This window comes from Homo sapiens, chromosome 18 (genome assembly GCF_000001405.40).
Source record: "Homo sapiens chromosome 18, GRCh38.p14 Primary Assembly".
NCBI lineage: Eukaryota > Metazoa > Chordata > Mammalia > Primates > Hominidae > Homo > Homo sapiens.
The window spans coordinates 57,414,364-57,429,415 of NC_000018.10; the positions used below are offsets into that span (position 1 = coordinate 57,414,364).

At 41.1% G+C, this 15,052-nt stretch overlaps 1 annotated feature.

Moving 5' to 3' along the window:
* Window positions 12,042–12,091: a silencer, noted in NCBI's record as "silent region_9477". NCBI's record gives its function as "represses an Ori minimal core promoter by ATAC-STARR-seq in GM12878 lymphoblastoid cells {active_cell/tissue: GM12878}" and the evidence as "EXISTENCE:reporter gene assay evidence [ECO:0000049][PMID:35858748]".

Genomic DNA, 15,052 nt, shown 5'->3' on the forward strand with positions numbered 1-15,052 from the left:
GGGATCCTTATGATGATGGACATGTTCTGTATCTTGATTGTATTGATGGTAATATCCTGATTGTGAAATTGTACTTAGTTTTAAAAGATGTTTTCATTAAAGAAAACTGGATAAAGTGTACAAGGGATCTCTGTATTATCTCTTACAACTACATGTGAATCTACAGTTATCTCAAAATTAAAAGTTTAATTAAAAATTGGGAAGTACAGAGTTACCAGTTACTTTGATGGGAAGACTGTGAGCGCAATTTTGGGAAGTAGAAATCAAGAGTGCTTAGACATGTTGAGTTTTAGGTCATTGTTAGAGACCCAAATATCAAGTGAGCAGTTGGATATATTTGACTGGAGTTCAGAAAATAGTTCTGGACTGTATATGTAAACATGAATATCATTAGCAAATAAATGTTACTTAATGCTATGGAAGATCTCCTTGCATAAGGAGGAAAAGAATATAGAATCAAAACAAGAGAAAATCTAAGATCAAGCCTTAAAAAATTCCATCATTTAGAAGTCAAAGGAGACAGAACTAGCAAGTCTGGAAAGACTGACCAGAGATACAAGCAGAAAAGCATGTTGTCACAAAACAACAATCGAAGGGTGTTTTGGGCCAGGCGCAATGGCTCATGCCTGTTAATACCAGCACTTTGGGGGACAGAGGCAGGCGGAATGCTTGAGCCCAGGAGTTTAAGACCAGCCTAGGCAACATAGCAAGACCTCATCTCTACAAATAATAATAATAAAAAAAACATAGCCAGGCATGGTGGCAAACCTGTAGTCCCAAATACTCTAGAAGCTGAGGTGGGAGGATTGCTTGAACCCAGGAGGTTGAGGCTGCAGTGAGCTATGATCATGCCACTGAACTCCAGCAAGACCCTGTCCAAAAAATAAAGTGTTTCAAGAATGCAAATGTGTTGTCCACAAACTGTAGTTGAGAAAATACAAGATAATGGGACCAGACTTATAACAATGAAATTGCCTAGTCTCTGATTTGCATGATCTAATGCAAAACCGTCTGTGCAATTTTAAGTATTTTTGTTTTTCTCATTTTTTTTTTTCTGGTCATAGGAGAAGGAGCAAAATCATAGGCTCTCTTTTTGGACCTAGTTTCATTACCTCAACTGACACTACTTCCTAAGAAAAACATTCCATTTTTTTAAGGCAGGGCTTACACTTACTCTCCTTCATGTTCATTTATTGGACTCAACCTCTGCTGTCCTCTGCTATTCTTCTACCCTCACTATCTCCTACCATTCTGTCCCTGCTCACACTGTGTGCAAACATCCTAAGCACATGCCTCACTGGTTTGTTCTTCTCAATCTCTTTTGGTACTCTCCTTACATTTCCAAACAGTTCCAGATCCTTACGTTTTCCCTATTTAGATACACTCTCTAGATTATCTCAACCAGTCCTATGGCTTTCACATATCACCTATACACAAACAACTCTTAAATTTCTGTCTCTAGCCCCAACTTCTCACCTTGCCTCCTGACTTATATCCAATTGCCTGCCCAATATCTATCTCCTCTTGAATGAATAATAGACACTTATAGTTAACATGCACAAACACTTGATTTTTCCCCATTCCCAACTTGTTCCTCTTTGTCTTCCCCAGCTTTCATGGAGCTCCCTAATAAATGGTGTGATAGTTTTAAAACATGGTCCCAAATTCTTTGATGCTCCAATGTCCCCTCCTCCTTGAATCTGGAATGGGCCTGTGATGAATTCTAAACACAGAATATGGTAGAAGTGACGTTATGTGACTTCTGAGGCTAGGTCATAAAAAACCATGCAGCTTTTTCCTGGTTGTCTTAGAATGCTCATTCTATGGACACTTCCTAATGGAATACTCCTTCTTAAAGCCCAGCCATCATGCAGTAAGAAGCCCAAGCCAATGGAGATAGCAAAAATGATTGTTGTTTAAGCTCACTACTTTGGGGCATTTTGTAGTGATAGAGAACTGGAACTGATGGAACCTGATGGTAGCTTTATTGTTTCAATTTTTGAGACCAGAACTCTAAGGTCATCCTTGACGCCTTTCCTTTTCTCACATTCCATATCCAAACCATTAGCAAATCCTGTCAGCTCTCTCTTCAAATATGCCCCAAGTCTGACCAATTCTCACCAATCTGACCAATTCTGACCAGTATCTCATCTATAAAGTGAATCTCTCCTAGGCAGAGATTCTTGGTGGGAAACAACAGAAACTGACTCGAGCTAATTTTCACAGAAAAATATTAGGCAAAAGGAACCCAGATTACTCACAGAATAGACTGAAAGGGATAAGAACCAAGTTCAGAAAAGGATCTGAAATCAATGGGGGTTAGGTGCAAGAACCACAGCCAGAGAACCAGCTGGGTTGGCGAGCTGCCTCTGTTGGACACAGAACGCACCACCACACCAGTGCAAGTTGTAGGCTGTCTCCACGCCATGGTCTCTCTGGCATCTGACATCCAAGGAGGTGTATCTTACTGGTTGGATCTAGATGACATTTCTGAGTCACAGCTATCAGGGGATGGGGAAAAAGAGAGTTTGGGCTTTTTGGATTTCACAGTAAGAAGTAGGATCCTATCTTCCATAAAAACTCATTTTACATTTCACAGTGCATTTTCTAAACACAATAAGTGGGTACAAATTCTGAGCAGCCAAGTAAAAGTGAATGTCTAAGGGTTGGGTGAAGAGAAAATGAAGTATTTTCTATTACAAACAGGCTCCCAATGTATGTTAATGTGTTGGAAATATAACTACATTGTGAATTAAAGCCTTGGATTCAAGTCCTGTTCTACCACTTACTGAATGTGTGACCCTTAACCAATTCCTTAAGTTCCCAGAGATTAAGGTTTTTCATCTTCAAAATGGGAACAATAACATCACTCCCACTTATCTTACATGCTGTTTTGAGGATCAAATGAGTGTGTGAATACTTTGAGGCACTCTTTTAGTTCTCATTCATCTTTGTAACATGGTTGCCTAGCTTAAGGCCAGCCTGGAGTAGGTGTTCTATAAATGTTCCATAAAGGTCCAGAATTAGCAATAACTACAGAAAGAATTTGTAAAATGAAAGCCATTAATTAATTTATGCAAATAAGTCATCTATGTAGGCCAGAAAAGTATGATATTGTCATCCAGGGCCAGACTTTTTTTTTTCTTTTTTTTTTTTTGAGACAGTCTTGCTCTGTCACCCAGGCCAGAGTGCAGTAGCGCGATCTTGACTCGCTGCAACCTCCACCTCCAAGGTTCAAGCAATTCTCCTGCCTCAGCCCCCCAAGTAGCTGGGATTACAGGCATGTGCCACCATGCCCAGCTAATTTTTGTATTTTTTAGTAGAGACGGGGTTTCACCATGTTGGCCAGGCTGGTCTTGAACTCCTGACCTAAGGTGATCTGCCTGCCTCATCCTACCAAAGTGCTAGAATTACAAGCGTGAGCCATCGTGCCTGGCCCAGGGCCATTCTTAAGAAATATCAAGTATGGGAGGAGGCCCTGACACTGATCATTTTTGCCACTGACCTCTTTATAAAATAAATATGGAAATAGAAGAACAACTTATGCTTCATTATATAGTACAAATTTGGTTCACAGAGAAAACTCCTTCTGTGACAAATTTTAGGGACTCATTAATAGTTCTTGGGAATTATGGTACCATGGGGAAGTTATATAGCTTATTGTCTAGATCTCTGGCCAATGGATTCAAGTTATCCTGAGAAACAAGAAATATCAAACTATAGGATAACTAATAATACAAGTGCACAATCTCTTAACCAAATCCTTTAGAGACAGATGCTTTAGAATTGAGAATTTTTCAGATATTTGAAAGATTTTAGCGGTAAATATTATTTATTACATAACCCCCAGCAAGGTCTGGGGCAGCACTTTCTCATCAAACACAACAATATTTCTGCACAGGTATGTGTGAATACTAATTCTAAGTGGAATAAAGACTATAAAAAGGCTGAGTGCAGTGGCTCATGCCTGTAATCCCAGCACTTTGGGAGGCCAAGGTGGGCGGATCACTTGAGGTCAGGAGTTCGAGACCAGCCTGGCCAACATGGTTAAACCCTGTATCTACTAAAAATACAAAAAAAAAAAAAAAAAAAAAAAATAGCCGGGTGTGGTAGCATGCACCTGTAATCCCGGCCACTCCAGTGGCTGAGGCATGCAAATGGTTCAGGAGGGAGGCAGAGATTGCAGTGAGCCAAAATTGCACCACTGCACTCCAGCCTGGGCGACTGAGGAGGCTATATTAAAAAAAAAAAGACTATAAATAGCTTCATATCAGTTCAGTTATGGTTACTTCAACATATGAAATTCAAAAAAACTTCTGGTTTTTAGAGCTTTTTGGAATTTTAGAAATGCAGACAAGAAATAATTCTTGTACTTTCCATAAAGAAATTGTACTTTTCATAAAGAAATGGTTTTTATAGAGATAGAAAATGCTCCATCATGTACTTTTAACGTCTTTATAAGCTTGAATATTAATATTAGTCTAACCCTTAAAATTATCTACATAAAATTACGTTCACAATATCATTTTTAAGTTTTATTTTTAATTGAAAAATAACTGTACATATTTACGGAGTACAACATGATGTTTCAATACATGTTTACATTTTGTAATGATCAAATTAGAGTAATTAGCATATTTGGCAACTCAAAAATTTATCATTTCTTTGTGATGAGAATATGCAAAAACCTCTTTTCTATTTTGAAATGTATAATACATTGTTATTAGTTATAGTCGCTCTACTGTGCAATAGAACACCAGGTTTTATTCCTCGTATCTAATTGTAATTTTGGGCTTATTGACCAATGTCTCCCTTTTCCTCTTCCACCCCTTTCCCCCAACCTCTGGTCACAATAAGGTCATATGTGACAGACCCACTACTAATATTACGCTGAATGTAGAAAAGCTGAAAGATTTTCCTCTAAGATCAGGAACAAAACAAGGATACTCACTTTCTCCTCTTCTATTCCACATAGCACTGGAAGCCTGGAAGTCTTAGCCAGAGTAGTTAGGCAAAAGAAAGAAATTAAAAGTATCCAAGTTGGAAAGGAAGAATTAAATTGTTCCTGTTTGCAGAAAACATGATCCTATATATTAAAAAAAAAAAAAAAACCCTAAAGACTGTACTAAAAAACTGTTAGAACTAATAAGCAAATCCACTGAAGTTTCAGGATACAAAATCAACATACAAAGTTCAGTAGCATTTTCATACACTAATAGCAAAAGATCTGAAAAAGAAATTTAAAAATCCTATTTACAACAGCTACAAAAAAATAAAATACTTAGAAATAAATGTAATCAAGGAGGTAAAAGATCTTTACACTGAAAACTATAAAACATTGATGAAAGAAATTGAAGAAGATATTAAATAAATGGAAAGATATTCCGTGCTTATGGCCTGGAAGAGCTAACATCGTTAAAATGGCCATGCTGAAAACCAAACATCGCATGTTCTCACTCATAAGTGGGAGTTGAACAACGAGAACACATGGACACGGGGAGAAGAATATCACACACCGGGGCCTGTCGGCAGGGTGGCACGCTAGGGGAGGGATAGCATTAGGAGAAATACCTAATGTAGATGACAGGTTGATGGGTGTAGCAAACCACCATGGTACATGTATACCTATGTAACAAACCTGCACGTTCTGCACGTGTACCCCAGAACTTAAAGTATCACAATAAAAAATAAAAATAAAATTTTATTTTAAGTTTGAATAAGGCAGTAAATCAAATAAATCACCTTTAAGATATAATTTAAAAATATACCTCCAGGAAAAAAAAATGGCCATGCTACCTGATATGGTTTGGATTTGTGTCCCAGCCCAAATCTCATGTCAAATTGGAAGAGGGGTCTGGTGGGAGGTGATTGGATCATGGGGGTGGATTTCCCCCTTGCTGTTCTCATGATAATGAGTTCTCATGAGATCTGATGGTTTAAATGTGTGTGGCACTCCTCCCTTCTCTCTTTCTCTCTCTTACTCCACCATGGTAAGATGTGCTTGTCTCCCCTTCACCTTCACCACAGCCATGCTTCCTGTGCAGCCTGTGGAACTGTGAGTCAATTAAACCTCTTTTCTAAATAAATTAATAAATTATACAGTCTCAGGTAGTTTTTGTTTGTTTGTTTTTTGTTTTTTGGGTTTTTTTTTTTCTGAGACAAAGTCTCACTCTGGTGCCCAGGCTGGAGTGCAGTGGTGCGATCTCGGCTCACTGCAACCTCTGCCTCCCAGGTTCAAGTGATTCTCCTGCCTCAGTCTCCTGAGTAGCTGGGATTACAGGCATGCACCACCACGCCCAGCTAATTTTTGTATTTTCAGTAGAGATGGGGTTTCTCCATGTTGGTCAGGCTGGTCTTGAACTCCCGACCTCAGGTGATCCACCCACCTCGACCTCCCAAAGTGCTGGGATTACAGGCATAAGCCACCACGCCCAGCCCAGGTAGTTCTTTATAGAAGTGTGAGAATGGACTAATACACTACCCAAAATGATCTACACATGGAATGCAATCCCTAGAAAAATACCAATGACATTCTTCACAGAAGTAGAAAAAACAATCCTAAAATTTGTGCAGAACCACAAAAGATCCCAGATAGGCAAATCCATCTTAAGCAAAAAGAAGAAAACTGAAGGTATCATACTAACTGACTTCAAAATATACTACAAAGCTATAGTAACCAAAACAGTATAGTACTGGCATAAAAACAGACACACAGACCAGTGGAATATAATTGAGAGCCCAGAAATAAATCCATGTATCTACAGCCAACTGATTTTCAACAAAGGTAACAAGAGCACATAAAACTGATATCCACATGCAGATTAATGAAATTAGACTCTTATCTTTTACTACATACAAAAATCAACTCAGAGTGTATTAAAGATTTAAATTTAAGACCTGAAACTATGAAGCTTCTAGAAGAGAACACAGGGGAAAATCTCCATGACATAGGTCTGGGCAAGGGCTTTTTGGATAAGACCTCAAAGCACAATCAACAAAAGTAAAAACAGACAAGTGGGATTACGTGATACTAAAAAGCTTCTGCACAGCAAAGGAAACATCAATAGAGTGAAGAGACAACTAACAGAATGGAAGAAAGTATTTGTAAATCAGACATCTGATAAAGAGCTAATATCCAAAACATATAAGGAACTCAAACTACACAATAACAAGAAAATAAATAATCCTATTTAAAAATGGGCAAAAAACTTGAATAGACATTTCTCCAAAGAACACATACAAATGGCCAACAGATACATGAAAAAATGCTTGAAGCAAGCAAAAACTCTCTAAACATCAGAAAAATGCAAATTAAAACCACAATGATACATCACTTCACACCTGTTAGCTTGGCTATCAGCAAAAACATGGAAGAGAACAAGTGTTGCTGAGCATGTGGGGGGAAAGGGAACCCTTCTACACTCTTGGTAGTATTGTAAAGTAGTAAAGTAGTAGAGCCATTTTGAAAAAAATAGTACGGAGTTTCCTCAAAAAAACTAAATATAGAATTACCATGTGATCCAGCAATCTCACTACTGGTTATATACCCAAAGGAATTGAAATCAGTATGCTGTAGAGATGTCTGTACTCCCATGCTCACTGCAGCATTATTCACAATAGCTAAGATTTGGAAACAACCTTAGTGTTCATCAATGGGTGAATGGATTTTAAAATGTAGTATATATATGAAATGCAATACTATTCTCCTATTTCAAAAAAATAGAAAATCCTGTCATTTGAGGCAACACAGATGAACCTAGAGGATAATATGTTAAATGAAATAGGCCAGGCACAGAGGGACAAATACTATATAATCTCATTCATCTGTGGAAACTAAAAAAGTTGAACTCATAAGAGTAGAGAGCACAATATTATTCTTTTTAATGTCCAATTCAGCAAATCCTGGGATTCAACCAAAGAGATCATCTATTTCAACCTGCTGCCTAATTCAGCTGATTCCTACTAATAGCATCCTAGCCAGGTAGTCACTAAGCCTTTGCTAAACAGTCATATGAGTGAAGAATTCACTCCTTCATGGGGCAAGCTGCTGTCCTCTAGACAACTTTAATCACTGGAATCAAAATCAGCCCCTCTGTCACTTTTACCCTTTGGTCCTAACTCTGACTTAGAACAGGAAAAACTAACCTCTCTGCCGCGTGACAGCTATGCAAATATTTGAAGTGGCAGCCATGCACCACATTATTGGCCTCTTCTCTAGGCTAAACATTTGCTCTAACTCTTCCACATAAAGCATGATTTCCTCTTCCCTCACATCCTAATGACCCATGTAAGCTCTAATTTATTGATATCTATATTAAAATTAGGTACCTAGAGTTAGATTCATCTCCAGCCCAGAAGACAGGGAATTTGCTACCTTTCTTGTAAGTTGTATGCCATATTTCTTGTAATGCAGCCTAAAAATGCATTATCTTTTTTTCATGCCGCATAATACTGTTGAGCCATTTGCATTTATAGTAAATAAATGCTTCCTTCTTTCTCACATGCATTCTTGTCACAATCCAGGAACCTCCCTTGATTTCTATTTTTCAGCCTAAATAAAGGACTTTATATTGGTCCTTGTAAAATTACATGATGTTTATTGTAATTCTAACATGCATATTCCATTTTGAATCTTGATTTTGTCTTTCAATATGTTAGCTCGAGAATATTATATTAAGTGAAATAAGCACAGAAAGACAAATGCCGCATGCTCACTTACATGTGAAATCTAAAAAAGTCAAACTCATAGAAGCAGAAACTAGAATGATGGTTACCAGGGGCTGGGGAGTGGGAGTGGGGGAAGGGAGACACTGGTCAAAGGATACAAAATTTTAGTTAGACAGGAGAAATAAGCTATAGTGATCCACTATACAACATGGTGACTCCAGTTAATAACGTACATATTGTATACTTGAAAATCACTAAGAGAGTAGATTTTTTAATGTTCTTGACACAAAAAAAAAAATATGTTAGGTGGTACATATGATAATTAGCTCAATTTAGCCATTCTGCAATATAAACAAATTTCAAAACATCATGTTGTAAACCATAAACATATAAAATTTTTGTCAGTCAAAAATATAAATGAGAAAAAATTCTTTTCCTTCCTGAAATGTGTGTGTATATATATACACACATACATATATTGTGTATATATTACATATATAACATATATATATATACAAGATATATAACATATATATACAAGATATATAACATATATATACACACACAAAATCAATTTCCTACTATGGGTCTCACCCAGAAAGTTTACAAACACAGTATTAAAGTATGAGTGAGATTTGAAGTAGCACAGAGGAGAGGAGAAGACAAGGAAAAATCTTATCCCATTAAGGATGAATAAATTCCTATAAAACATAACTCCTTCACTGACCACCGTACTCACCCCACCCCAGCTACCCACCACTGTAAGCCATCCCAACATGCAGAAATCAATATTTTAAGTATATATATTTTTAAGTGATTGTTTGGTATTCCAAGGTATTACTCACTTTTAAAATTGGTCATATGAGGGCTCAGTTACAAGGCAAGTGACTCTGGTTTAATATGTGTTCATTTGATGGACACCCAGTTTTTTAAAAAACACCAGGAATACAAATACAAAATATCCAGGATTTCTGCTGTTTGCTTATATTGTGTAACAAAACTAATGTTAAACATGACCCTTGAAACTGTCCTGGCATCCTTCAGTCAGATACTATGATGAGTATGATGAGCCCATAGTAAATTTCACTATAGTTCCACTTGGAAGAAAATACTTTTTCCTAAGTTCTTAGATGGGAATAACTTAAAATCTCTTCAGAAGAAATACCCACTCAAAAATCTATAGTAAATTTTAAGAAGTCACGTAACTCTGAAGCGATTCTGGCTCAGTGATCACTTCAAATTGTGACTGTTTTTTTCCTCTCTCTCTGTTCTGTTTCTTTTGCCTTTCTTGGTCTGAAAATACAGAGAGGTACCAAAAACTCAGTACATAATTTGAAACTAAAAGCAACAAACCCATTCATTGAAGTATAATAGGTCATTTGGAAATAAAATTCATTTTTTAAAAAGAGAATCCTTTTTTGGAATCCATTTTTGGAATATGAAGTCAATCATTATAGCTTTATTCCATCAGAAATAGCTTTTTAAGGCTATAACTCCCAAACTATTTGGATTAAGAATTAAAATATCTAAAGAGCCCATAGGAAATTAACCCAATCATCATAAAGGTCCCATTTTAATAAAAGGGGATCCATATCAAATCAGACTTTACATGTGGAAGGGACCTTGAAGAGCATCTACAGAAGGAAATGCAGGCTGTCGGTCACACAGCTAGACAATAATAGGATTGGGACCAGAATGCAGGCCCTGCCTCTTGATCCAGGACTTGTTTTCACTGCACCCTTGACCTTAAGAGGGTGATGGAGTAGACCTAATTCCTCCTAAACCAGTCATTTATAACTTCCTCTGACCAACATCCAATCACGTCAAAAGAGAACAAGAAAAAACAAACAAACAAACAAACAAAAAACAGGTGGAAACTTAGTCCATTACTTTGAGATGGGATCTGACTGTTTTTTCTCTTTATACAGAAAATGGAGTTATCATCATCACCTCACTAAAATGTAAGGTCCATGAGAACAGGGACCACATCTAACTTATTCATGGTTCTCTTGCGAGCACTTATGTGGTGACATATTTTTGGGTGCTTTTTATTTATTTGTTTTTGTTTTTACTGACCACTATTCAAACACTCTATTTTGAGGTGACTCCCTAAAGTGTGCAGTACAGGTGAAATGCAGTGCTCCTTTCTCAGTCCCTGGCGGCCAGGACTCTAGTATATGCTCTAGGAGAGGTCACACCCTAATTGGCTCTTGTAGAAGTGACACGAAAACATAGGACAGTGTGGACGTTACTCTTGGCTGCGGCAGCAGCAGCAGAGACAAGTGGGTCAGCAGAGGCTTCCTAAACCAGTCTATTGCAGGGCATGATCTTGGCTTTGTTCCTATTCCTAGTCTCCCTTGGAACTAGGAATTGGTTCCTGCTTCACTCTCCTGCCTTCCTATCACTTCTTCCTCATTTATTCTTCCTGAATTATTTGGTTTCTTCCTCAGACGTTCTTTCCTACTTTTTTGTCTAAGGCAGCTTCTGTTGCTTGCAACCAAAAATTCTAATAGGCACATAGTAGGCACTCAAATAAGTCTTAAATGAAAATAAAATTAATGAATTATTATCATAATTTTTGTAGAACACTTCACAATTTCCAAGCACTCTCTCGTATCCTAATTACTGCACCTGGTCACTGTCTCATTTGTCTTCCAGTTAAGTTATAATATTTAACAAGGGCAAATCCTTCTTGATGCAAGAGTCAAGTTAAAGAAAATTTTAAAAATCTAAACCAGGCTTAGACGTGATTTTTTCCAAAGTATGCTACGCAATCTCATGGTATTAGGTACCACTATGAATGGTATCATTTAAGTAAAAAGGAAGCCCTAAAAAATGAAATTTAGAATACCAACTGGGGAGTAAAAGCTGGAAAGTATAGGGCATGAAATAAAGTTTAAAACTTTTTGAAGGAGGCTGGGTGTGGTGGCTCATGCCTGTAATCCCAGCACTTTGGGAGGCTGAGGTGGGTGGATCACCTGAGGTCAGGAGTTGGAGACCAGTCTGGCCAACATGGTGAAACCCCATCTCTACTAAAAATACAAAAATTAGCCAGGCATGGTGGCACGTGCCTGTAATCCCAGCTACTCAGGAGGCTAACGAACGGGAGGTGGAGGTTGCAGTGAGCCCAGATTGTACCACTGCACTCCAGTCTGGGCAACAGAGCGAGACACTGTCTCAAAAAAAAAAAAAAAAAACTTTTTTAAGGAAATTTGATATGCAAATAGTTGCACAGAAGAGATGTAGAAGTGATAACTGAAACTTCAAATATGAGCTGGCATTCGCCAGATGAAATAGCATCAAAGAGCTCTAGAAAAGAGCACTGAAACTTCAGATAGGAAGTTCACCCACCACTCTACCAGGTGCAGTGGGGTAGAAACGGTTCAGTGTAGAGGTCTAGAAATGAGCACTGAAACTTCAGATAGGAGCTGGCATTCACCAGGTACAGTGGAGGTAGAAGTGGTTCAGACGCTGAAGGAGCAACATCTACAAAGGCAAAAACTATGTCCCTTCAAAACACAAAGAATATTTGCTTTAATCATATGGCTCTAACCAAGGGGGGGAGGGTTGTGAATTCTTAAAAATATCTTCACCCACCCCATCTCACTTTACTAGAAATTGAAGTCAACCATAACCCACACCGTTCTCCAAGAATTAAATGGGAAATTTTATAATTACAAATGGTATTTCAAAACTTGATGTTTCAGAATTCCCTTAATAATTCCACTACCTTGTTATCAAATTATGTTGATAAGGTAAAGAATTTGACACAGGGCATCCTATTTGGTCTCTGTCAACACGAAGCCCCCAAACCAGGTTTCCTCAGTCTGATAGTTGGAAAACAGTTACAAAATCCATTAGTCCATCTCAGTAAGGGAGAGAGGAACAGCCATTTTGTGTGCAGTGACCTATCCTCAGCCCCATGGACTATGTAGCAGGAGATGTAGTGGCGAGGTTCCTTTTTTACTCTCTATATCTGATCTCCAAGGAGTCAGTGCTCAACTCTTTCCAGGATAAAGTCTGAAGAACACATTTCACCAATAAAAAAAGATAGTAAATACTTGAGTCGTTTCAGAGAGAGAAAAATATGAAACACTGAAGATGAAGCGCTTAAATCTTTAATGTTTTTGGACAACACAGTCTATATGTTTTCTGCATAATGTATCATTTCTTTAAACTATAGTATTAAAAATAATTTCAAATTGTAATGAAAAGTCATTTGGCTTTAAAACCACCCAGGAAGAGGATATAAAATGCGTATACCAAAAGACTATGATGCGGCTTCCAGTGTTTTTCTGATATAGATCATAATAATTTAAAAAGGCTTTTGTCAGGCTGTCTGAATACATCAAATACTTTCTCATTTCTGTGTCGGCTGTGAAGCTCTAACTATAGTGGCTTCTCTAGCAGGTATTCTCCGCACAACTGTGCCAAATCGTTCTGAGGACACCCAGATTCTCCTCCTTCTCAAAACAGACATTCCTGACTGGGTCCTAGGGCAGGGAGAGGGGCGTTGGACCCCTACTGCCCTCTGGGTTCTCCGAGCACCAGGACTTGTTGCTCCGGCGGGAACTCGCGCGGATCCACCGGCTCGGCACATCCTGCCTACAAGTAGGGCGGCGTGTGCTAGGAGCCGGGCCCCGGGCCGAGTCGTCCGTGCCGCAGCGGAGAGCTCCGACCGGCGCGGCCCCACCATCCGCTGACCTTCGCCCGGTCCGGCCTGGAGCCCGGCCGCGGCCTCCCTAGGCCTCTCTAGGCCGGGCGCCGGTTCAGCGAGGACCGGAAGCGCCCGCCGTCCGCCCTTCCGCCTCCAGGCCGCGGGCGCCAGGCCGGGGGCGGGCTGGGGACGCCCTGGGAGTGCCCCGGGGGCCGCCTTCTTCCCCGCAAGCCCGGAGCGGGCGTCGCTCCCGCCCCCGCCTCGTCTTCAGTTCCCCCGTCGCTTCCGCCGCCGTGGGTAGAACAGACCCGAGCTGGGAGCCAGGCCTGCGGCCCCTCGAACACTAGCCACATCTGGCCCGCCGGGCCTAGCACGGAGAGAGGCCCTGGGGCTTGGCGGCCGGGGCCGGGAGAGGTCGCGCGGCCAAGGACACCCGAGGGCCTGGGCTGCCTCCCCGCCCTTCCCCGCCCCTCCCCTCGGCCCTGGAATCAATAGTGGCCGCTGACTTTTCACGACAATTGCAGCTGTCTAATTCATCAGCGAATAATTAAATCAGAGGCCGCCGGGCCTGCCTGGAGTCGGAGACGAGGGGTCGCTCCTCTCAAATCCTGTCAAATTGGGGAGCCAGTGGGCAGCGCGGAGAGCGGACAGGCCTCGCCCTGCGCCGAGGCTGCGAGAGCCGCCTGGACCCGGCGCCATTCCGAGTGTAGGGGGAAGCAAGCCCCCAGGTGTGGGGAGCAAAAGGAAGGAGGAGGGCACAGGCGGGGGCCCCGCCGAGGCTGGACTCCCTCGTCAGCAGGGCCCTCCTGGCCGGTGCGTGGTCCGGGTGCCCGGCGTGGGGCAGCGGCCGTGGGGCCCACAGACACCATCCTCACGCAGACTTCGCGAATGTCGTGGAACTCCATCCTCGGGAGGCGCTTTGCCTTTGAGGAAGATGGAGAGGAGTCGGGAGAAGCGCCTAGAAACCGCATTGATTTAGACATCAATCCTGGCCGGCTCCCTCCGCCTGCCGAGCTGCGGGGCCGCGCCGCCCCGTCCCCGAGAAGCGGACCTAGGGTACGCCGGGCTCCGCCGAGCGGGCAAAGGGAGCGGCCTGCGCCGCCACCCCGCGCCCGCGGCCTCGACGCCGCAGCCGCCACGCCAACACCGATTCCTCGTGGCCAACAGGTTTCTCGCAGCCCTCCGAGTCGGCAGCGCCGCCCGCGTCCCTCTTCCAGCCGGGCCGGCGGGACGCCCTCAGAGCTTGTGCTCTCTCGAGGCCGCCGAGCCCACTGAGCCCGGCCGGGGCGCTGGTTCGCGTGGGCCGCGGGGAACAGGTCCCGCTTCTCCAACGACCACGGCCCCGGCGGCTGCGAAACGGCCACCTCCGACCCTTGAGTCCGCCAGAGTCGCTCTCCCTTTCACATTTGCAAGCAAAACAACATACGTAATAGTGACATCGAGGCACTTTTCCAAACTAAAATGATCCTAAAATAATCTGAATGTACTGTTACTTTTGATCGTGTTACCCCAAAAGATTAGCTCAGATTCACTTGGTTCTTTTATTTCTTTGGGAGATGATACTCGAGGAATCTGAAAAAATATACGATTTTTAAAAACGATATGATTCGCATACCTATTTCAACCCCTCGGTTGGTTTTGTTAGTTTCCAAATAGAAATATTGCCTTTTGAAATCGGAGATCATATTTCTCAAGTTTAAAATCTAGCCAAGTCTTTTTTTTTTTAAT